This window comes from Homo sapiens, chromosome 8 (assembly GCF_000001405.40).
Source record: "Homo sapiens chromosome 8, GRCh38.p14 Primary Assembly".
Lineage (NCBI taxonomy): Eukaryota > Metazoa > Chordata > Mammalia > Primates > Hominidae > Homo > Homo sapiens.
The window spans coordinates 11,370,052-11,393,553 of record NC_000008.11 but is presented as its reverse complement, the minus strand read 5'-3'; the positions used below and the strand labels follow the sequence as shown (position 1 = coordinate 11,393,553).

The 23,502-nt window shown below is 42.1% G+C and overlaps 1 long non-coding RNA gene and 2 pseudogenes across 1 annotated transcript in view; 1 reads left to right on the top strand and 2 right to left on the bottom strand.

The window, feature by feature from the left end:
* Window positions 1-23,502, bottom strand: part of FAM167A-AS1 (FAM167A antisense RNA 1) — a 70,256-nt gene that overhangs the window by 45,104 nt on the left and 1,650 nt on the right. The window contains exon 2 of the long non-coding RNA NR_026814.1: window positions 9,553-9,741. This is a non-coding gene — a long non-coding RNA (FAM167A antisense RNA 1). The remainder of the gene's footprint in view (window positions 1-9,552; window positions 9,742-23,502) is intronic.
* On the top strand, window positions 1,037-1,143 carry RNU6-1084P (RNA, U6 small nuclear 1084, pseudogene; annotated as a pseudogene).
* On the bottom strand, window positions 13,879-14,159 carry RN7SL293P (RNA, 7SL, cytoplasmic 293, pseudogene; annotated as a pseudogene).

The following is a 23,502-nucleotide window of genomic DNA, read 5'->3' as shown; positions in this document are numbered from 1 at the left end:
AGAAGTTCTAATTCTCTGTAAACAGGTCTCAGAAATTCCCAGCTGCTTATGGAAAAGCAGAAATGTCTCGTTCCAAAGGCTGTATAATGGCCTTGTGAACTTCTTGGAATGATAACTCTTCTGGCTGGCTTTACCTTGACCTGTCCTTGACCAGTGACTTGTTTTCTGTCTTATCTCACTTGGAACTTGGCACAAGTCCTCAGGCCACCCAGTATAGCAGTGGACTTGAGGGCTGTGAGCTAGCGTAGCTGGGAGCCTTCTCTCTGGGAGTAATTCCGTCTTCCCCTCGGCTCCCATCGCCTTAAAGGACACTCCTCAGTGACCCAGCACTAGCAAGTCCCCAGACCTGCCTGCCAAGGTCCTCTTTGTCTAATCGGAGGAATCAAGGGCGCCCTCTCCCAAGCTTTAGCTGAACGACGGACTCTCCTGACACTGTCAGGGAGAAGTGAGGGGAAGGCATGGTGAGGAGGGACTCTTGGGGAGCAGAGCAGGCTTCCTCTTCACCTCAGAGTACCTGCTCTGTGTCTCTCCTCCCACGTTCCCTGCCCAGCAGGGTGACCTCAATCCCCGAGTCCATTCTCTCCCTGTCCACCGTCCAGGCTGGCCCTCCAGCCCTGCCGCCCACCCCTGTGGCCAAGCCTCCCCCTTAGCACCTGCAGAAACAGCGCTAGTGCTGTCAGGCTCCAACACGCCTGGGTTTCATTCTCGCTCTACTGCCCACTAGCTGTGTGGCCCTGGGGGAGCCATGTGGCCCACCTGCATCCTGGTGTCCTCATATATAAAATAGGAAAAAGCATGCCCACCTCACAGGACAGGTGCAAAGCTTAAAGTCAATGGTGCGCCTGTGCTGCCTCCTGCAAGATTTGTAGATGCTTCTGCGTGCTGGCAAGGTTCTGCTTCTTAAGCTAGTTAGGGGCTACACAGGACTTTGCCTTACAACTATTTGTGAAACTGTCCATTTTTGTTTTATGCACTTTCTATATGTATGTTTCATTATACCATTTCTTTAAAAAACACTTATAAAAAAGCAAATCTGGTGCTCGCTTTGGCAGCACATATACTAAAATTGGCACGATACAGAGAAGATTAGCATGGCACCTGCACAAGGATGACATGTAAATTCATGAAGTGTTTCTTTCTTTCTTATTTTTTTTTTAAAGCAAACCTGTAGAAGAAAATGTTAGATGCTGAAAAACATTTAGTTATTCAGGCTGGGGACGGTGGCTCATGCCTGTAATCCCAGTACTCTAAGAGGCCAATGCAGGTGGATCACCTGAGGTCAGGAGTTCGAGACCAGCCTGGCCAACATGGTGAAACCGCCTCTCTACTAAAAATACAAAAATTAGCCAGGTGCGGTGGCACATGCCTATAATCCCAGCTACTTGGGAGGCTGAGGTAGGAGAATCGCTTGAATCCGGGAGGTGGAGGTTGCAGTGAGACAAGATTGCACCACTGCACTCCAGCCTGGGCAACAGATTGAAACTCCATCTCAAACAAACAAACAACAACAACAAAAACCCACATTTAGTTATTCAGGGGAAATTATTCTTCCCCTGATAAGGATAGCGTTCCCTACTTTAACACCATCTCAGTTCTCTCCTTTCTGAAGAATCTCCCTGATTCTCTGTTATTTCAAATAACTGTCCTTTCCCAGCCAAGCTCCTAAGATGGCTATTCTAAAACCGCCACCTCCCCTTTCACTCCCCTTTCCCTTCTGTGAGCTGTGGCTGTCAGGCTGTGCCGCAGCTGAGAATGCACCAATGGCTTCCAGCAGCAAACCCATCTCCCTTACGCTTCTGAGACCCGGACCATTGCTCCCTGCCATCCTTCTCCCACTGCAGGGAGCTCTGCCTTCCAACCTGCATCAGTCGTATCCCAGTGCACGAGGGTGCCCTGGGTACAATTCCAGGGTCAGGTACTGTAAATGACAGGGGATAGTATCACCTGGACTTGCATCAGAGGTAGCTGAAGTTTCTGAAAACACCCATTCCTCAGCCTCACTCCAGACGACTTGTCAGGAAGGAGTTCCAGAAGGAGGACGGTCACCCCCAGCGCCTCCCATGGGCCAGGCACTGCCCATGCTTTGGACACTTTAGTCCTTCCCCAGTTCTAAAGAGTGGGTGCTATAATTGTCCTCATTTTGCAAAGGAGGAAACTGAGGCTCAGAGAAGCTGAGAAACATGGAGTGGGTCCTGTGGGTGGGAGTGGTGGGTCAGAATTTGAAACCAGGACTGTGCGGCTCCCCTGCCCACACTTTGGCCGTGCTTTGCTAACCTAGTATCTAGAGCAGCAGCGTTTCTCAAACTTGTCTGCACACATGCATTGCCCGGGGGTTCTCATTCTTTCTGACCCAGCAGGTCTGGGTGGGGTCTGGGAGGCTGCTTTTCTAACAAGCTCCTGGGTAAGCTGATGCAAGAGGGGAGACAGAATTGGAATAAATGTGACCCACCCCATCACCAGGCTTTCCCTGCTTTACGGTAGGTCAGCTAAGGTTGAGGAAATAGATGGGCCTCTCACCACCATCCTCGCCAGAGCCAGCCGCAGCCTGGAGGCCCCTCACCCGGAGGGGCTGCCTCCTTCCTGCCAGTATAGATCAGACACAAGGCTCAGCTTCTGCCCAGACTGCACAAGAGCTTAAGGCTCTGAAAACATCACTAAAGGTGGGAGGAGATGGCAGGGAGCAGCTCCATCTCAGGGTTAGGGCATCGGGCATCTGACCAGCTTCTCTCAGCTCTGCAGCCTTCCCAGAAGTGCACACTCTGGACATGCGGTCCCCCTGGGAGGTGGAGTCAAGTCCCTGCTCCAGAAGTTTCCCTACCTGGGAGCAGCCTCCAGGCCCCTCTGCCTTTGCCCAGCCTCTGGCTTTCTGGGAAAAAATTTTGTTCATCACATTGCACGTTCCTCAGAGAAAAAGTATTGGCAGCCCTTTGCAAAAGTTTCTGTGTTGTTCTTCTTTTCAAATGTAAATTCTGTCCTTATGGGCCTGAGAAAGAGACGAAGCACCATAGATACTGGTCACTTCCAGGCCTTTTCCAACCAAGAGTCCTTCTCCTGAGGATGTGGAGGGGGCTCTTCTTTGAAGCTCCTTTTGGGGCACAGCTTCCCAGTTAAGCCTGTTGTCAGTGTCTCCACCTGTTTCACCGTGTGGCACACACAGCACATGACACTCTGCGTGCCACATGCCGCGATGCAGAAGGCCGCCGCCCCTGAGGCTGTGAGCGCACCTGGGGTCCCCTGGGGCCGAGGACCTCCGTACCTCACACACTCATTCCGTGTTCACAGCTCTGCAGTCGAGAAGTTCTGGATGGAGACTCTCACCCTCCCCTCCAGGACACTCACTGGCCACACATTCTGCCAGAAGGACAGAGGGCATTAGTAGAAGCCATCAGAATAGCCTGGTGAGACTGAGAAGGCAAGTGTCACTGAGGGGAGCCCAGCAACATTAGGGCTTTGAGGTGACCTGGAGATGGGGCTGAATTCTGAGCTGAGTCCTCGGAGCACAAGCCCGCCCTGTGTCTCCGAGAGGGTGCCCTACCTTCATCTCTCTCTCTCTCCATCCTCCTCCCACCCATCCCTGCTTCTCTCTCAGCCAGAATTGTTCATCACATTGACCCCTCCCTTGTTCCCCCACCTGAGCCCCAGGAGTATGTTCTCTGTGTGGGTACAGCCTGCTGTGAGCTGCAGCAGCACAGCAATGGGCAGAAGTTCCTGCCTCTGAGGCCCTGGCAGCCCGTACTTCAAAATCTGCCCCACTTGAACCAGTGCCTGTGAATGCCAGGGGGTGAACACTTGCTCGCTTGTTCTGCTCACAAGCAGTTTATGGGCAGGGTTGTCAGGCAAAGCAGCAGACCACTTGGGGTCCAGGGTCCTCTGCTTTCTGACCAGAGCTGAGGACCTGCTTGTCCCTGCTCCCTGGGATACTGCCGGTCGGGAGCTGAGTCACATCCATCGCACCTGCCCTCATCCAGTCTGAACAGGTGCCACCCAAGCTGACCTTTTCCAAGAATAATCAGCGTGGCCTCCCTCTCTCTCTTCTGAAACGGGTTTTACATAGAATGAGAAGCGGGGCCGTCTTTAGGTCTCTGAGTTTCCTGGGTGTGATTTTGCTGTCAATCACTTCCAGGATAACTTGCCCATCTGGCCTGATGGGCCTTCCAGAATGCATTCCACCACTTCTAGTCCTGCGGCTCACCTTTCTAGTCGTACCCACATACACAAGTGGCTTCTTTCTCCTGGTAGTGTGTGGCAGGAAACCTTGCAGCTCTCCCTAACGTGACATTTCCCTTTAAGCTCTGCTCACACAGGACTGAAGACCTCCGTGGTGTTGGCACCACATAGAATACCCGAACCTGCGATGCTCAGCTGGTCTCCATCTCTTACCCAGCAGTTCAGCCCACCCTGTCACAATCCAAGGATGTTTGCCAGACACAGGTCCAAAGCCCCCTCCGCAGGTGCTGAGTCTGCATTCTCGCCCATGCCTATGGTTCTAGAGGCACAGGGGCCCTGCAACGCTCCCTACCAGTGATGAATAAGAAATGTCTGGGGGACTAAGACATCAGACTGAAGAAGGGTGAGGAACATTGAGGAACGGTGGATGTTCGCTACAGATCTCAGGGAGCCTGAGGCAGGAGGGAGATTATGCCCTTGGATCCGCTGCCCTCAATAACCACTGCAGGGCCTTGAGAGGAGAGAAGATAAGGAGAACAAGCCAAAGGGGCCCGTCCCGGCGAAGGCTACACAACTGCCAGCCCGGTGATAACATGGCATTCGACCCCCTTCCTGAGAATGGCTGCCAGCTTCCCGGGCCCATGGCTGTGTTGACTCTGGAAAGAGGGAGGATGCTATCAGCTCACAAGGTCTGAGCCTCAAGACCCGAGCAGAGCGGCCGGCCGATAAGCTAAGTGGGGCCTGTAACTGCTCCAGCACAGGTGCACGACCCACCCTGTTTTCCTCTGGCACGAGCACTGCTGGCTTGTCAAAGACTGCCCTGCTCTCAGGCCTGCTGCCCTGGGCAGGTGGTGGGAGTGAGATGGCAAGCTTGTACCCTCACACTAGAGCTGTCGCCCTTTAGGTGGACATCCTTTAGCATCGTGGTTCTTTATCCTTTGGGGTGGAAGGGGACCCTTTGAGAATCTGATGAAAAGACAGCACCCTCTCCTCTAAAAAAAAAAAAATGTAACATCTAGTGTGCAGTTGGGCGTTTGGATTTTAAAAGTTGGCAAAAGGCCTTTGATTCCCTGGAGGAAGAGGAGTGGGAATTGGGAGAAATGTTACCTGAGGTTCGACACTGAGGAGGAGAGAAAGGCAGGGTGCATGATCTCTCTAAGAGTGCCCAGGGAATGAAGAAAGGACACCACGTCCCTGAACAATAGACTCAGGCATTAGGAGAGCATTTTCAGGTGGTCCTGGCTTGATCACCCAGCTGGGGAAGATCACGGTGGGGGTTCAGTAAGATTATTCACAAGAAGCTTTGGGAATAACATGGAAGTATCTTCTTACCTCTTTTCTCTGTGGGTTTTAGTAAATAATTTTAAAGCACCATGATGGAATCTGTGCATGGCCGTCAGGATGCCGGACAACTTTCAAAGACGGCTGCTGTGACAGACACTGAGGTGGCATTTGTTGGGAGTGCATTTCTCCAGCTTCTCTAGGTATTCTGATATCTTGATTCCCACAGACTTAAGTCCAAGTCAGCTATTCCCAAGCAGTGGAGGTAGATAGGGTATCAGTACCTTGTCAAGAATAAAAGCCCTTGGTGAGCTAATAACTGGATTGACTCATTTCCCCAGGCAGGTAGCTTCATGAATGAGAGCCCAGCAACCTGTCGCCAAGGTTGGTTGGGCAGGAAAAAATGCATCCAGTCTCTGCAGCATCTGTCCTGGGAAGGGCCAGCCCTCTTGAGCTCTGAGTGTGTTTTTTTCATGTTGGTTATATCAGGTTCCTTGAGAGGCAAAAGTGAAAGGCAACTCTTGGGTCCTGGCTTCCTTGAGGAGGCTGGGGTGCCACTCCGTCCATCCAGACTTCAAATGGACCCACACTGATGTACATCTGCTCTGTTTCACTGGCACTGTTTCATTTCTGTCTCACAACAATCCTCTAAAACCAATACGACCCTACACAATTTTCATAGAAGATGAAATGCTTGTTTTCCTGGCATCTGGTTCAGTAATGAAAATGTGTTTTGAATGGAGGTGAGCAAACAGGGCTATCAGGAGAGCATCCAGTCCAATGGGCGGCAGGTGTGCAAACAATGACAACAGGTCTTCTTTCTTGGGAAGAAAGGTGCATGTGGATCTGGGGCCTCTGAGCAGGGGTGGCAAGATGGGATTTGCTATGTAAGAGATACGCTTGGACAAGTTCCCATGAGAAACATGGGGAGCTCCTCCTTTGTGAACGGAAGCCTCTCCCAAAACGTTTGATAATTACTGCTTTAGCAAAAGAAATGCTTTTTCCTTGAAAAACAAAAGCTCAGGCACAGTTGGGTTTCTCTCTCACTATTGCTCCTTGCATAGCTCCAACTACCATATTAATTTTTTTAACTCATACAGATTTATCTTAACCATATTAATTTTCATTACTAGCCAAAATGTCTTCTACTTCACAGAGAAAAATGGTGGGTAGAGAAGTGAGAACTGTTTATCTTAGACAAAGATTTCAGCAGAATAGCAAAGTTCATAACCAACCTTCTATAGCCACACACATTCCTTTTACGCCTTCTGAAAGTTCAAAAATGAGCAGTCATGCATCTGATCCCAAGATACAGCCTCTCTAAAGCACAACAAATAAAAAGCAATTGCATATAAACCTAAAATTATGTTGCATAATCAATGTTTTGTCATTTGATAGTATTTAGAGGTCATCTAACTATACAGTGATTATCCATTAACTCAACTTAATATCAGCCCCAAATTCTAAGTCATCTAAACACCTAGAAAAGTATCTTCCAGCTACAAAATATAATTGCTGTTGAAAGAAAAAGTTTGTCACCATAACGAATGAATTTAGTTGAGCACAAATTTCCTGGTTTAATGATCCTCAACATTATGTAACATTAAGTAATCGCTTATTTGATGAGTAAGCTTGTACGAGTTTAGGAAAGACAAACCAAATAAAATGCATGCTTGTGTTATATACATCGATAAATAGGAGAAGTAACGTGGCAATTTTTTAATCAAAATTATTATTAATAATATTTTGAGACAGAGTCTTGCTCTGTTACACAGGCTGGAGTGCAGTGGCACGACCTCAGCTCACTGCAACCTCCGCCTCCTGGGTTCAAGTGATTCTCCTGCCTCAGCCTCCCGAGTAACTGGGATTACAGGTGCGCACCACCACGCCTGGCTAATTTTTGTATTTGTAATAGATACAGGGTTTCACCATGTTGGCCAGGCTGGTCTCCAACTCCTGACCTCAGATGATCCACCCGCCTTGGCCTCCCAAAGTGCTGGGATTACAGGCGTTAGCCCCCACACAGCCTGAATCAAAATTATTAAACTAGTCTAGTTTGCCAAAGATTAATCTTAATTATGTGAACTTGGTTTCTGAATTGGTATTAGAAATTCAATTTTCTTATTTTCTGGGAATTTTAGAAATATTCAGTTTATATGAGCAATTGCTGAGTTGTATGGTAGTTGCATGTTTTGTCTTTTAAGCAACTGCCAAATTGTATGCCAAAGTGGCTGTGGTATTAATATTTTACCTTTTTGCCAGCAGTGTATAAATTATCCAGGTTCTATGCATCCTCACTAGCATTTGGGACTGTCATTTTTTTTTTTATTTTAGTGATTCTGATAGGTATATAATGATATTAAATGTGGCTTTAATTTGCATTTTCCTAATGGGTAATGATGTTGAATATTCTCCCTGTACTTATTTGCGATCTGTATATCTTCTTTGGTGAAGTCACTTCTTCATGTCTTTTGCTTGCTTTCAATTTGAATTTTTTGAGATTTTTTACTATTGAGTTTTGAGAGTTCTTTATCTTTCCTAGATGTTAGTCCTTTGGCAGGTATGTGATTTGCAAATATTTTCTTCCAATCTGTAGCTTATCTTTTCATCTTCATAACAGAGTCACTTGCAAAGTAAAAGTTTTTAATTTTGAAAAAGTACAATGTATCATTTTAGAGGTCATACTTTTAGTGTCAAATCTAAGAACACTTTTCATAGCCATAGTTCCTGAAGATTTTCTCCAATTTTTTTCTAAAAGTTTTAGTTTCATGTTTCAAGTTCATAATCCATTATGAATTGACTTTTGCATAAAGTATGAGACTTAAAGGTTTGTTTTTGTTTTATTTATTTATTTATTGCCTGTGGATGTCCAATTGCTCCCAGCACCATTTGTTGAAAAGGCTACTTTTCTCCATCAGATAGCCTTTGCATCCTTGTAAAAAATGATTTGAGAATATACGTAGGAGTGTGTTTCTATGTTGCCTATTCTGTTCCTTGGATCTATGTGTCTATCTCTCTGCCAATAGCACACAATCTTGGTTACTGTAGCTACAGAGTAAGTCTTGAAATCAAATAGACCACTTTGTCCTACTTCATTCTTCTTTTTCAAAACTGTTTCAGCTATTCTAATTTCTTCCTGTGCCTTTCCGTATAATTTTAGAATAATCTTGACTTTATCTTCAAAATAACTTGCTGAAATTTTAATAGGAATTGTGTTAAATCTGCTTATCAATTTGGAGAGAATTGACACTTATAGCAAACCAGAAATAGAAGGCACCTTCCTGAATCTAATCAACAATAACTATGAAAAGCCTATGGCAAATATTATACTTAATAGTGATAGATTGAAAGACTTCCTCATAAGATAGAAACACGTAAATATGCTTGTGAATATCTCTTCCATTCCACCACATGTTCAAAGTCCTACCCAGTACCAAAATGCAAGATAGAAAAACAAAAGGCATAAGGATTGGAAAGGAAGAAATAAAACTGTCAAGATTCACAAGTAATATGTTTTGTAAAAAATCCAAATGAATCTATAAATAAATGATAAAAAGGAATTGTTTTTTCTAAGTAATTTAGAAAGACCAATTACAAAAGTCAACTCTAGTCCCATTAAAAAAGAGGGAAAAAAAGTAAAAATGTTTAGGGATACTTTTTAAATTGCTTTGAAAAAAAACTGAATACTTAGGAATAAATCTAACAAGAGATGTAGAAGTACTCTCTGTACAGAAAGCAAGAAAATATTATTGAGAAAAATTCCAGAAAACCTAAAGAAATTAAGAGACATGCCTTATTTCTGAATTTAAAGGTTCAGTTGTAAGGATGTCACTTCTCCCCAAATTGGTCTATAGCTCTAATGCAATCCCAATAAAACTTCCAGAAGATATTTTGAGGTAACTGACCAGATGATTTTGAAAATCTTGTGTCAATTCAAAGGGCCAAGATTAGCCAGGACACTTTTAAAAAACAAAAGCAAGGTCGGACGATTGGTCTACCCGATCTCAAGACGTTTGATAAAGCTAAAGTAGTTAAGATGGCATTAGTGCAAGAAGAGACAGACTAATAAAACAATGCAGAGTCAAGGACCAGATCCACACTTACCCACTTGATTTATGATCACGGTGACACTGCAGCAGAGTGGGGAGTGCGTGGACTCTTCAGTCACTGGTGCCATGAATATGGTTCTATATCTACTGGGTCTAATGGGTATCCATAGAGAACCAAAAGTCAACCTGAAGTTCTGTCTCACACCATACTCACATCAATTCCAGGTAGATTGCAAGTCTAAATCTGAAAGGTGAAACAACAAAGTATTTAATAGACAACAGAAATCATCTATATGATTGAGGATAAATGAAGATTTCTCAAACAAGCCACAACAAGCCCTAACCACAAAGGGAAAGTGATAAATTAGACTTCGTTAAACTTAAGAATTTCTGCTAATCAAAAGGTTTCACTGAGAGTAAAAAGTCAATCTGTGCAGTAAGAGAAGACATTTGTAATACATATATCTAACGATGATCTTACATTTAGAATATCTAAATAGTTCCTAAAAATGATAAGAAAAACATAGATAACTCAATAAAAAAGTAGGCAATGCCTGTAATCCCAGCACTTTGGGAGGCCAAGGCAGGCAGATCACTTGAGGTTCGGAGTTCCAGACCAGCCTGGCCAACGTGGTGAAACCCCATCTTTACTAAAAATACAAAAAAAGTTAGTCAGGCATGGTGGCATATGTCTGTAATCCCAGCTACTCAGGAGGCTGAGGCAGGAGGATCGCTTGAGCCCGGGAGGCAGAGGTTGCAGTGAGCCGAGATCACACCACTGCACTCCAGCCTGGGTGACAGACCAAGACTCTGTCTCAAAAAAAAAAAAAAAAAAAAAAAAAAAGGAGGCAAATCCTTGAACAGACATTTTACTGAAAAAAGCATATCCGCAAATCAAAACCGCAATGAGATACCATCCCACACCAATCAGAATGGCAATTATTAAAAAGTCAAAAAATAACAGGTGCTGACGAGGTTGCAGAGAAAAAGAAACGCTCATGCAATGTTAGTGGGAGTATAAATTAGTTCAACCATTGTGAAAGACAGTGTGGCGATTCCTCAAATATCTACAGAACGACCATTCAACCCAGCAATCCCATTACTGGGTATATAACCAAAGGAATATAAATTGTTCTATCATAAAGACACATGCATCTGAGTGTTCATTGCAGCACTATTCACAATAGCAAAGACATGGAATCAACCCAAATGCCCACCAATGGTGCACTGGATAAAGAAGATGTGGTACATACACACAGTGGAATACTATGTCACCATAAAAAAGAACAAAGTCATGTCCTCTGCAAGAACATGGATGGAGCTGGAGGCCATTATCCTTAGCAAACTAACACAGGAACAGAAAACCAAATACCGCATGTTCTTACTTATAAGTGGGAGCTAAAAGATATGAACACATGGACACATAGAGGGGAGCACTACACAGTGGGGTCTATTGGAGAGTGAAGCATGGGGGAGGGAGAAGTTCAGAAAAAAGAACTAATAGGTACTAGGCTTAATACCTGAGTGATGAAATAATCTGTACAACAAACCCCCATGACACAAGTTTACCTATGCAACAAACCTGCACATGTACCTCTGAACTTAAAAAGTTAAAAAAAAAAAGAAAGAAAAAAGCATATCCCAAAATGGTTCACAAATGTATGAAAAAGTGTTCCACTGTATCAGGGATATAAAAAATTAAAAACACAATGCAATATCCATACATCTCTCCCCACCCCCGAATGACTAAAATGAAAAAGAAAGGAAAACATGAAGTGTTAGCAAGAATGTGAAACCACTGGATCTCTCAAACTCTGCTGATGGGAATGTAAATTCACACAACAACGCTGGAAATCAGCGTGCCTGTGTCTACTAATGCTCTATATACACACACATTCCCTATGTCCCAGCAATTCTACACACTGGTATATACCCATATAAATGCATGTGTGTATTAAAAGACATGTGCAAAGATGGTCATAGCATTATTATTCATAATGGCCCCAAACTAGGAAACTCAAATGCCCATTTAAAGGCAAATGAATTTTGATATATCCTTACAATGCAATATTATCTGACAATAAAATAAAAGTATATTATATTGAGCAAGAGAAGCCATACACAAACTGGTACATACTGTACGATTCCATTTATGTGACTCTCAAAAACAGGCAAAACTAATTCATGATGTTAAGTCCCAAAATGGTGGTTTACCTTTGGAGGCAGGGGCAGAAGACAAACTTTTGCAATGTTGGAAATACTCTATATCTTGATCTGGATGGTGGTTGCATGTGATATATGTATGTAAAAATGTATTAAGCACCAAGAAATCATTGATAAGCTGGACTTTATTAAAATTAAAAATTTCTGTTCTGTGAAAGACAATGTCAAGAGAATGAGAAGACAAGCCATACACTCAGAGAAAATACTGGCTAAAGGATCTTTGATAAAGAACTGTTATTCAAAATGTACAATGAACTCTTAAAAATCACCAATTTGAAAACACAATTCGATTTAAAAATGGGCAAAAAACCTGAATGACATTACAACAAAAATATACACAACAAAATGTATACTTAGGGAACTGACAATTAATTTTTATTTTTTTAGACAGAGTGGAGTGCAGTGTTCACTTCACCATCCAGGCTGGAGTGCAGTGTTGCCATCTCGGTTCACTGCAAGCTTTGCCTCCCAGGTTCAAGAGATTCTCCAGCCTCATCCGCCCAAGTAGCTGGGATTACAGGTGCCCGCTACCACACCTGGCTAATTTTTGTATTTTTAATAGGTATGGGTTTCACCATGTTGGCCAGGCTGCTCTCAAACTCCTGACCTCAGGTGATCCACTTGTCTTGGCCTCCCAAAGTGCTGGGATTACAGGCATGAGCCACCATGCCTGGCTCAGGAACTGAAAATGAAAGCAACAATGAGGTACCACTACACCCCTATTAGCATGGCCAAAACCCAGCACGGTGGTAACATCAAATGCTGGCAAGAATGTAGAACAACAGGACCTCTCATTCATTGCTGGTAGGAATGCAAAATGGTACAACCACTTTGGAAAAGAGTTTGGCAATTTCTTAGAAAACTAAACATACTCTTATACCACCCAGCAATCACCCAGCAATTATGTGCATTGGTATTTACCCAAGTGATTCGAAAACTTATGTCCACACAAAAACCTGCACACAGATGTTTATAGCAGCTTTATTCATAATTACCCAAACTCAGAAACAACCAAGATGTCACTTCCATAGGTGAATGGATAAACAGTGGTGCATCCAGACAAGGGAATAATATTCAACATTAAAAGAAAGTGAGTTATCAAGCCATGAAAAGACATGGAGGGACCTTCAATGCATATTACTAAGTGAAAGAATCCAATCGAAAAGGGCTAAATAATGTAGGATTCCACCTATATAACATCTGGAAGAGGCAAAAACATGCAGAGGATGTTAGGGCAGTGAAACTCCTCTATGTGATACTGTAGTGGTGGATACAGGTCATAATACATTTGTCAAAACCCATTCATCAAGAGTGAAGCTAATGTAAACTATGGATTTTGAGTGATAATGGTGAGTCAATGTAGGTTCATGAGTTGTAAAAAATATACCACTCTGGTGCCTGGTGCTGGTTTTAGGGGAGATTGTGCATGTGGGAAGGCAAGGGGTATATGGGAATTCTCTATACTTTCCACTTTATATTGCTGTGAACCTAAAATTGCTTTAAAAAAATAAGGTCTATTAAAGTGACAAAAAAATTAAGCTCCAAAAAACATTTAACAAAACTCTGCCCATAAGATTTGTGCACTCGTGTGCATTGTATCACAATGGAAATTTAACAAAGAAGTAAAAACCACAGTGAGATCCTACCACCCACTCACTTGATTGGCTAAAACCAAAGTCTCTAGCAATACATAATATTGGCAAAGACATGGAGCCCTGATGTCCCACTTATGAAGAATTGGTGTTTTGTTTTTTTGTTTGTTTGTTTGTTTTTTGGAGATGGAGGTCTCACCATGTTGCTCAGGTGGATTGCAGTGACTATTTATAGGTAAAATCCCACTATATTAGTTTGTTTTCAGACTATTATAAAGACATACCCCAAACAGAGTAATTTATAAAGAAAAGAGGTTTAATTGACTTATAGTTCCTCATGGCTGGGGAGGCCTCAGGAAATTTACAATCACGGCGAAGGCAAAAGAGAAGCAAATACCTTCTTCACTAGGCAGCAGGAGACAGCAGGAGATTGAAGGACTGCCAAACACTTATGAAACCATTAGATCTCATGAGAACTCACTACCACGAGAATAGCAGGAGGAAGCCACCCTCATGATCCAATCACTTCCTACCATGTCCCTCCCTTGACAAGTGGGGATTACATTTCGAGATGAGATTTGGGTGCAGACACAGAACCAAACAATATCACTCACTGTTGATCAGCATGGGAGTTTTGATCTGCTCTGTTTTCAACTTGGGCTGGTCCACCCACTTTAGGCAACCTGTTGGTCCCTCATTCCCGGAAGGTCACCATATTGGTGCCAAACTTAGTGTGGACACCCTATCGGCATAGTACACTGTAGCCCTGAATTCCTGGACTCAAGCGATCCTCATGCCTCAGCTTCCCAAGTAGCTGAGACTACAGGCAGGCACCTCCACACATGGCTGAAGAACTGTTAAGTAGGATATACTAAAGCTGAACTTATGCTACTACCCAGCGTATGCTACAGACCCTAGCTCTATACCCAGCAGAAATGCAAATGTATTCACCAAAAGATGAGTAAAAGAAGGCTCATAGCACTCCTATTCATAACAGCCCCAAACTGGGAAGAACTCAAATGTCCATCAAAGTTAAAATGCATTTTCTAAAATGTTGGTTTCATCGTATACTGGAATACTATACAGCAGTAAAAATGAGCAAACTATGACTGAACAGATCACATGAATGGATCTCACAAATATAATGTTGAGCAAAAGAAGCCACATACCAAAAAAGGACTATAATTTATCTATAATTCCAAAATAACAAAATTTACCTATAGTGACAGAAGTGAGGATAGTAGTTATCTCTGAGGCAGGGTTGGTAATGATGAGGCGGGGCATTAGAGTGCTGGGAGCTGACATATTCTGTATTCTTGATCCTGGGTAGCAGTTACGCAGATGCAGGTATCTATAAAAGTGCATTGATCTGTACACATAAGATGGACATATTATATGAGGTTTTACTTTAATAAAATTGTGGAAGAATATTGGGATCTAGTAAAATTCCATATGCATTTGCCCTCACTGGAGTCAATAACAGCGTCTGGCACACAGGTGAATACAATGAAGAAAGGGAAACAAGATTTTAAATGTGCATTCATATTTTTAAGTAAAAAGGGGAAAAATAAAATCAGTGTTTTAAAATTTCTATTGCAGATAAGAGAGGTACAGGTGTTATATTTTTTAAAATCATGAGGTCATTCTCAGTTCCTTAATATTTGCTGTGAAAAGTAATAGCAAAACAGAAGCATTTACTAAAGTAGATAGTCTCAGATTTACTATGGATCAACTTACCATTTTGGAAGCTGTACTTCGAGTACCCATAAGCCGTTATGTTTTTCACTTTTCATACAGTGTTCAATACATTACATGAGATTGTCAACATTTTAGTATAACACAGGCTTTGTGTTAGATGATTTTGTCCAACTGTACACCAATGTAAGTGTTCTGAGCATGTTTAAGGTGGACTGAGCTAGGATATTTGGTACATTAGGTATATTCAATGCATTTTTTATTTAATATTTACACAATATTCCCACCTTACGATACGTTTATCGGAAGGTAATCCCATCATAAGTCAAAGAACAGATGTTAAAATATAAAATAAAGAATACGGTTGGCACAAAGGAGTCTTCCCAGGAAATTGTAAACTGTCTGACCTGAACAGAAGCATTGGAAAGAGTTTCCACATAACTATATGAAAAACCTCATGGCCAAAATTTGATATTAACAGGGATAATTTTTGAGTCTTTTATTAAAAGATTCTTGAAATTTTTTCACTTCCTAAATACTTTTGATTCCTAAAAATCACTTCTCCCCCTCACACAGACTCCCATCTGTTTCAAGACCGAATAAATATGTCAGCACAGCAGTTCGTTTTCAGAATTTGGTGAACATTACAAAATTAGTTTCAATGCATATGGCAGATATTTAGCAAATGTTTGGGGTTTTTTCCCTCCAAAAACAATTATATGCCAACAAGGAAACTAGAAATTTTCAAACTGCTCCAGTATAATGTTCTTCCTATTTGACAGAATGGAAATCCTGATTTTAGCCATTAGACAAGTATGTTCCTCACCAAAACCACCAAATAATTTTGTTTTAATATGGATGTGCTGAATAATTTTAAGGAAAGTCATTTTCATTTTCATTTTTATGTTTTTGAGACGGGGTCTCGCTTTGTCACCCAGGCTAGAGTGTAGTGGCACAATCTTGGCTCACTGCATCCTCGACTTCCCGGGCTCAAGCGATCATCCTACCTCAGCCTCCTGAGTAACTGGGACTACAGGTGCGCATATCACCATGCTCAGCTAATTTTTGTATTTTTAGTAGAGATGGGGTTTTCCCATGTTCCCCAGGATGGTCTTGAACTCCTGGACTCAAGTGATCTGCCCACCATGGCCTCCCAAAGGGCTGGGATTAGAAGCAGGAAAGTCATTTTTAAATGAAGGTATTTTGACAACCGTTTATTTAAAGGGAAGAAGAAAATGGAACTATCAGGTGATCTTGCATTAGAACCTTAACATCGCGCTGGTAAAGAGGGAATGCTGTGATGTCCGCCTCTAACGAGCAAAACTGGGCAAGCCAAAACAGTGGCGGGGAGAGGAGGTTTTGTGGGAATGATCAGTTGTGAATTCACAGCAGTTTGCTTTGTTATCATGTTTAATAATTTACATGTTACAGCTGTTTCTTCAAATGTTCCCAATGTTCTATACTTTTTATTGAAAATAATTCAGTATGGGCAGAATTACCTGATTAAAATCACAGTTTGCAGGGTGGGGAGGAAGTAGTCTGTGAAGCTGGACTCTCATCGTCTCTTGCAGATGAGGAAATGAAAAGTCAAGACAAGAAGTGATTCTGTTAAGATTACACAATTTGGGGCAAAATGACAGCCAGAGTAATTTCTCTCCCAGGTGCAAAGCTTTCCCCCCTAATCAAACATCCCTCTAAAATCAGATTTACACACTTTTATACTTGTTTGGGAGAAATACAGATTTTCAGTGCGCCCAGTAGGCTCACGTTCAGAGATGCCAGTGTCATCAGAGAAAGAAGGAAGATAACATTCTTGGTATTTGCTGGGCTTCGAGTCTACTTGTGGGCTCCATGGGTCATGATTCATGGAAAACTGAACTTAGAGATCCAGGAATAAGACAAATGCTGGCTGCAGGCTTTAGTGGTACTGACAGCTGAGAGCTGCCTAGAAGAAAAAGCCAACAGCACAAAGTTCTAGATACATAAGTGAGTGCTTATAAACAGCATCTGCACTTCTAATTTTTAATTTTTGTGTGTGTATGTGAATGTTTAACATGAAAGAATTTTCTTAAGTTCAAGGGTACATGTGCAGGTTTATTATACAGGTAAACTACTCATGTCATGGGAGTTTGTTGTACGGATTATTTCAGCACCCAGATATTAAGCCTAGTACCTACCAGTTATTTTTCCTGATCCTCTCCCTCCTTCTACCCTCCACCGTCCAAAAGGCCCCAGTGTGTGTTGTTCCCCTCTGTGTGTCCACGTGTTCTCATCTTTTAGCTCCCACTTATAAGCGAGAACATGCAGTATTTGGTTTCCTGTTTCTGTGTTAGTTTGTTAAGTATACTGGCCTCCAGCTCCATCCGTGTTCCTGCAAAGAACGTGGTCTTGTTCTTTTTATGGCACCATAGCATTCCATTGTGTATATGTACCACATTTTCTTTATTCAATCTGTCATTGATGGGCATTTAGGTTGATTCCATGTCTTTGCTATTGTGAATAGTGCTGCAATGAATATACACATGCCTGTGTCTTTATGATAGAACGTTTTCTATTCCTTTGGGTATATATGCAGTAGTGGGATTGTAAATGGTAGTTCTGTTTTTAGGTTTTTCAGGAATCACCACACTGCTTTCAATGATGGTTGAACTAATTTACACTCCCACCGACAATGTATAAGGCTTCTTTTTTCTCCACAACCTCACCAGCATCTATTGTTTTTTTAATTTTAGTAATATCCATTCTGATTGTTGTGAGATGGTATCTCATTGTCGTTTTAATTTGCATTTCTCTAATGATCAATGATGTTGAGCTTTTTTCATATGATTTGCCACATGTATACCTTCTTTTGAAAAGTGTCTGTTCATGTCTTTTGCCCACTTTTTAACGGAGTTGTGTTTTTCTTGTAAATTTAAGTTACTTATAGACGTTGGATATTAGACCTTTGTCATGTGCACAGTTTGCAAAAACTTCTCCCATTATGTAGGTTGTCTGTTTACTTTGTGGATCATTTCTTTTGCTGTGCAGAAGCTCTTTAGTTTATTTAGATCCCATTTGTCAATGATTGCTTTTGTTGCAATTGCTTTTGGCATCTTCGTCATGAAATCTGCCTGTTCCTGTGTCTCCAGAATGGTATTGCCTAGGTTGTCTTCCAGGTTTTTTATAGTTTTGGGTTTTAAAGTCTTTCATCCATCTCGTGTTAATTTTCATATATGGTGTAAGCAAGGGGTCCAGTTTCAATCTTGTGCATGTGACTGGCCAGTTATGCCAGCACCATTTATTGAATAGGGAGTCATTTCCCATTGCTTGTTTTTGTCAGCTTCATCAAAGATCAGATAGTTGTAGGTGTGTGGCCTTATTTTGGGGCTCTCTATTGTGTTCCATGGTCTGTGTGTCTGTTTTTGTACTAGTACCATGCTGTTTTGGTTACTGTGGTATAGTTTGAAGCTAGCGTGATGCCTCCAGTTTTGTTCTTTTTGCTTAGGATTGCGTTGGCTATCGGGACTCCTTTTTGGTTCCACATGAATTTTAAAATAGTTTTTTCTATTTCTGTGAAGTATGTCATTGCTAGTTTGATGGGAATATCATTGAATCTATCAATTGCTTTGGGCAGTATGGCCATTTTCATGATATTGAGTCTTCCTATCCATGCACACGGAATGTTTTTCCATTTGTTTGTGTCATCTCTGATTTCTTTGAGCACTGTTTTGTAGTTCTCTTTGTAGAGATCTTTCACCTTCCTGGTTAGCTGTATTCCTAGGTATTCTTTTTGTGGCAATTGTGAACGGGATTGCATTTCTGATTTGGTTCTTGGCTTCACTATTGTTGGTGTACAAGAATGCTGGTCATTTTTGTACATTGATTTTGTAGGCTGAGACTTTGCTGAAGTTGTTTATCAGTTTAAGGGGCTTTTGGGTAGAGACTGTAGAGTTTTCAAGGTATAGGATTATGTCATCTGCAAACAGGGATAGTTTAACTTCCTCTCTTCCTATTCGGATGTGCTTTATTTTTTTTCTCTTGCCTGATTGCCCTGGTCAGGACATCCAATACTATGTAAAGTAGGAGTGGTGAGAGATGGCATCCTTATCTTATGCCAGTTTTCAACGGGAATGCTTCCAGCTTTTGCCCATTCAGTATGATGTTGGCTGTGGGTTTGTCATAGATGGCTTTTATTTTGAGGTATGTTCCTTCAATACCTAGTTGATTGAAAGTTTTTAACATAGTGTTGAATTTTACTGAAAGCCTTTTCTTAATCTGTTGAAATAATCATGTGGTTTTTGTCTTTAGATCCATTTATGTGGTGAGTCACATTCATTGATTTGCATATGTTGAACCAACCTTGCATCCCAGGGATAAAGCCTACTTGATCATGGTGGATTAGCTTTTTGATGTGTTGCTCGATTCAGTTTGCCAATATTCTGTTGAGGATTTTTGCATCAATGTTCATCAGGGATATTAGTCTGAAGCTTTCTTTTTTTATGTGTGTCTCTGCCACGTTTTGGTATCAGGATGATGCTGGCCTCATAGAATGAGTTGGGAGGAGTTTGGAACACTTTCAGTAGGAATGGTACCAGCTCTTCTTTGTATACCTGGCAGAATTTGGCTGTGAGTCTTTCTGATCTTGAGATTCTTTGGTTGGTATGCTATTTATTAATGCCTAAATTTTGAAGCTCATTAATAGTCTGTTCAGGGATTCAATTTCTTTGTGGCTTAGTCTTGGGAGGGTGTGTGTGTCCAGGGATTTATCTATTTCTTCCGGATGTTCTAGTTTATGAGCACCTGCACTTTTAAAATTATGCTGGGAACATAGGCTTCCATCACTTTTCCATCTTTCACTAGCATCCTACATGTTTAGTCGTCATCAGTTCAACACACTTTATGATTTTCTGCCAAGATTGACAAATACTTTGCTGTGCTATTATCTTGATAATGGTAGATTATTCTTTCACATAGTGAACGTTTCAACATAAAAAAATTCAAAAGGATTACTTTGTCTTATTAATTTGGAATGGAACATAAACTATGAGTATCAGTAATTTAAACCGTGGCAATAATGAAGTAAGTACCCAGAAATTGATAGGTCGGTCCACTTCTAAATCAGCTGCTCCCAATTGAAAACAAGAAATGTTTATCCCACGTAGCTCTTTTCATAAAAACATCTCGGCAAGTTATCTCATAATTTTTTTTTTTTTTGAGACAAAGTCTCGCTCTGTCGCCCAGGCTGGAGTTCAGTGGCACGATCTCAGTTCATTGCAACCTCAGCCTCCCAGATTCAAGCTATTCTTATACCTCAGCCTCCTGAATAGCTAGGATTACAGGCACGCACCATCACACCCAGCTAATTTTTGTATGTTTTAGCCAATAAAGGCTTACAGCTTACATTTGCGATGAAGTTATTTGTAGCATTGTTTGCAATAGTGAAAGAGGGATGAGTCTAATTGTCCAAAATGAGGGAATCAGTTAACTATGCTTTTGTGCATCCGTACAATAAAAAGTGATGCAGCTTTTAAAATGAATGAGGTAGATCCCAAAAAACTGATGTTGAAAAGTCTCCTAGGTTGTCAAGTGAAAAAGGAATGTACATAATATTCATGCTTTAGAAAAATAAGGGAAATACACACACATACACACACACACACATAAATAGGTATATATGTAGCTGAATGTGCAAATCTGCACCCAGTCATGGTTGCCTCTGGAGAGGGCAGCTGAAGGACAGACACACTTTTCACTGTATTTACCCATTTGTGCTGCCTGAATTTTACCATGTAAAATTCTTACATTTAAAAAAATTAATTAAAAACTTAAAAAGAAAGTAGGTAGATACTTAAAATGGGACCTCAACCTCTCAGGTTGTTAATTTCAGATAATACTGAAAAAGTACTGGCCATGCACGGTGAATCACGTCTGTAATTCCAGCACATTGGGAGGCCGAGGCAGATGGATCACCTGAGGCCAGGAGTTCAAGACCAGCCTGGCCAACATGGCGAAACCCTGTCTCTAGTAAAAATACAAAAATTAGTTGGGTGTGGTGGTGTGTGCCTGTAATCCCAGCTACTCTGGAGGCTGAGGCAGGAGAATCGCTTGAACCTGGGAGGCAGAGGTTGCAGTGAGCCAAGATTGCACCATTACATTCCAGCCTGGGTGACAGAGCAAGACCCTGTCCTGGCGGGGGGAGGGGAGGGAAAAGGACTATGCAGCATAAATTTTTCTTGAAGATTTTTGGTTTCATCTTGACACATAATCTGAGATCTAGACGCCTTGGTAGATGAGCACTGTATCTTTAACAAAATATTCTAGAAACAACAAGTCTTTCTTCCTTTTATAACTCAGAAGACGGTGGTGTGATCAAGAGAGTGGGGAGCCCTGCCCCGCCTACCTACTCACGGTCCCTTCCAGCCCTCTGCAGCAGCCTCCGGTGCTGCAGCTCCACTAATGGGACACGAAAGCATCGCCTAACATTTTATGGAACAAAAAGGATGGATCGCATCCTAGGAACCACACAGGACCTAACCCCCCATGGGACAATCTGCTCTTCCCAACCGTTGTCTCCTGGCAGCTCATATCCCATCTCCTCTTTTCTCCCATGAGGCCTGGCACTTTGCTGCCAACCTTAGCAACTCCTTTAGTGCCCACCACATCTGCTAACGCCCCCCTCCCCAGCCATGCGAAAGGAAGGTGTGAGCCCTGCAGTGACCATCTACTGCTGAGCTTTCCTGGGATCGTTTCAGCCCTCGAGGTAGCAGTCTGAGCAGGGCGGGGACTGCCCTGGCACACTAGTGGTTGCAAATGCAACCACATCTCACCCTCTGCTAAGACTCACATTTTCTTCCAGATTTTTACGTATTTGAAATCAGGATTATCCTACAACTTCTTTTGTACAGGTTGTGATTGTAATAGTGCTAGCATTGCCTATTGGTGACATAGGCACCTTCCAAACACAGCACTGAACCCTGCGCAGTGGGTGTCAGAGGCCAGGAGAAACATTCAGCCATCATTGTAACTCCTAGGAACCAAAGAGTTTAAGGTTTTGGGCAAACCAAATAGAGTTAGCACATTCCTAAAGCAGGTGTCAAAAGTAGGCGAGATTGGCGTAACTATAAAGCTGGTTTACAGTGCCAGTGACTTTTAGGTTTTATGAATTCTTTTAAGGAGTGCTCTGACATAAAACTCATACTGGCACAGAGAACAACACTGGGTGGAAAAACCAGAGACACCAACCACTGAGTCAAAAAGTGATTCAGAAAAGCAAAACCCGAAGTTTCAGGAAAACAAACAAACATACATTTCTAGATCCGTTTCTACAGATGCGCAAGTGATAACATCTGCATCTAGCAAAGTCTCAAAGAGCTCCTCAATGGGATACAAAGTAAAAAGTCCAAACAACAAGAAAGCGTTCTGTTTCTTTTTTCTTTTGTTTTTTTCAGAGATAGGGTCTGGCTCTGTTGCCCAGGGTGGAGTGCAATGCTCTGATCATAGTCACTTCAGCCTCTGCCTCCTGGGCTGAAGTTATCCTCCCACCTCAGCCTCCCAACTAGCTGGGACTACAGGCTCACACCATGACACCCAGCCAATTTTTGTAGAGACAGGGTCTCCCTGTGTTGCCCAGGCTGGTCTTGAACTCCTGGACTCAAGCGATCCTCCTCCCTCAGCCTCTCAAAGTGCTGGGATTACAGGCATCAGCCACTGCACTTGGCCATTGTGTCTATTTAAATGCAAGTTTTCTTCCTTTCTTAGAACATAAAAATAATAGTGTGTATTACAAATAACAGCATATTTTAATAACATATTTTTAATGATACATTTTCTAGGTGCCTTGAATATTAAAAAATTGGGAAAGTACAACCTTGGAGGCAGCTACTTGTTCTGGTTCATTCTTTCATACTACAACTTAAATTACAAATTATATTTAAACTTCTTACAGCAATGTAGGTACAGAAGAATTGTACTTACAGCGTAAAGAAAGAACTGGGCAAAATAATTTTTAAATTTTTGACCTTTTAACAAAAGAGAAAAGCTTTTCTTAAGGACTTCAGACAAATGGATCAACAGACAAGGTATCACATATACTCCCAAAATAAGGCAGAGTTATCTCCCGAAACTATCCCCTTAGGGATGCTCACCTTATATTTGAAACATTACACTCTTTCAGGATATACTAAATGCTGTCGGTAACCTGAAAAGAATACAAGTTATTGTTCTGTGGAAACATTATTAGCCTCAAACAACCTTAAGCAATGCTAATATTGTGGCTGGTAGGATAAGTTGTAAAGGAGGCACATTAACAGTCACGGTCTCTAGGATTATAAAGCTACAGTTACAAGTATTTGGTGTCACTGGAAAGAAGCCTGTTAAAAATCGAAAGCAATGCTCTGTGGATTCTGAAAAGCAGCTGCCCTAGTGCTACCTACACACAGGCATACTTGTGGCTTGGGATAAATGTCCACCAACAGCATCATACATAGACCCCGAAACTGCTGCATCCCAAACAACTT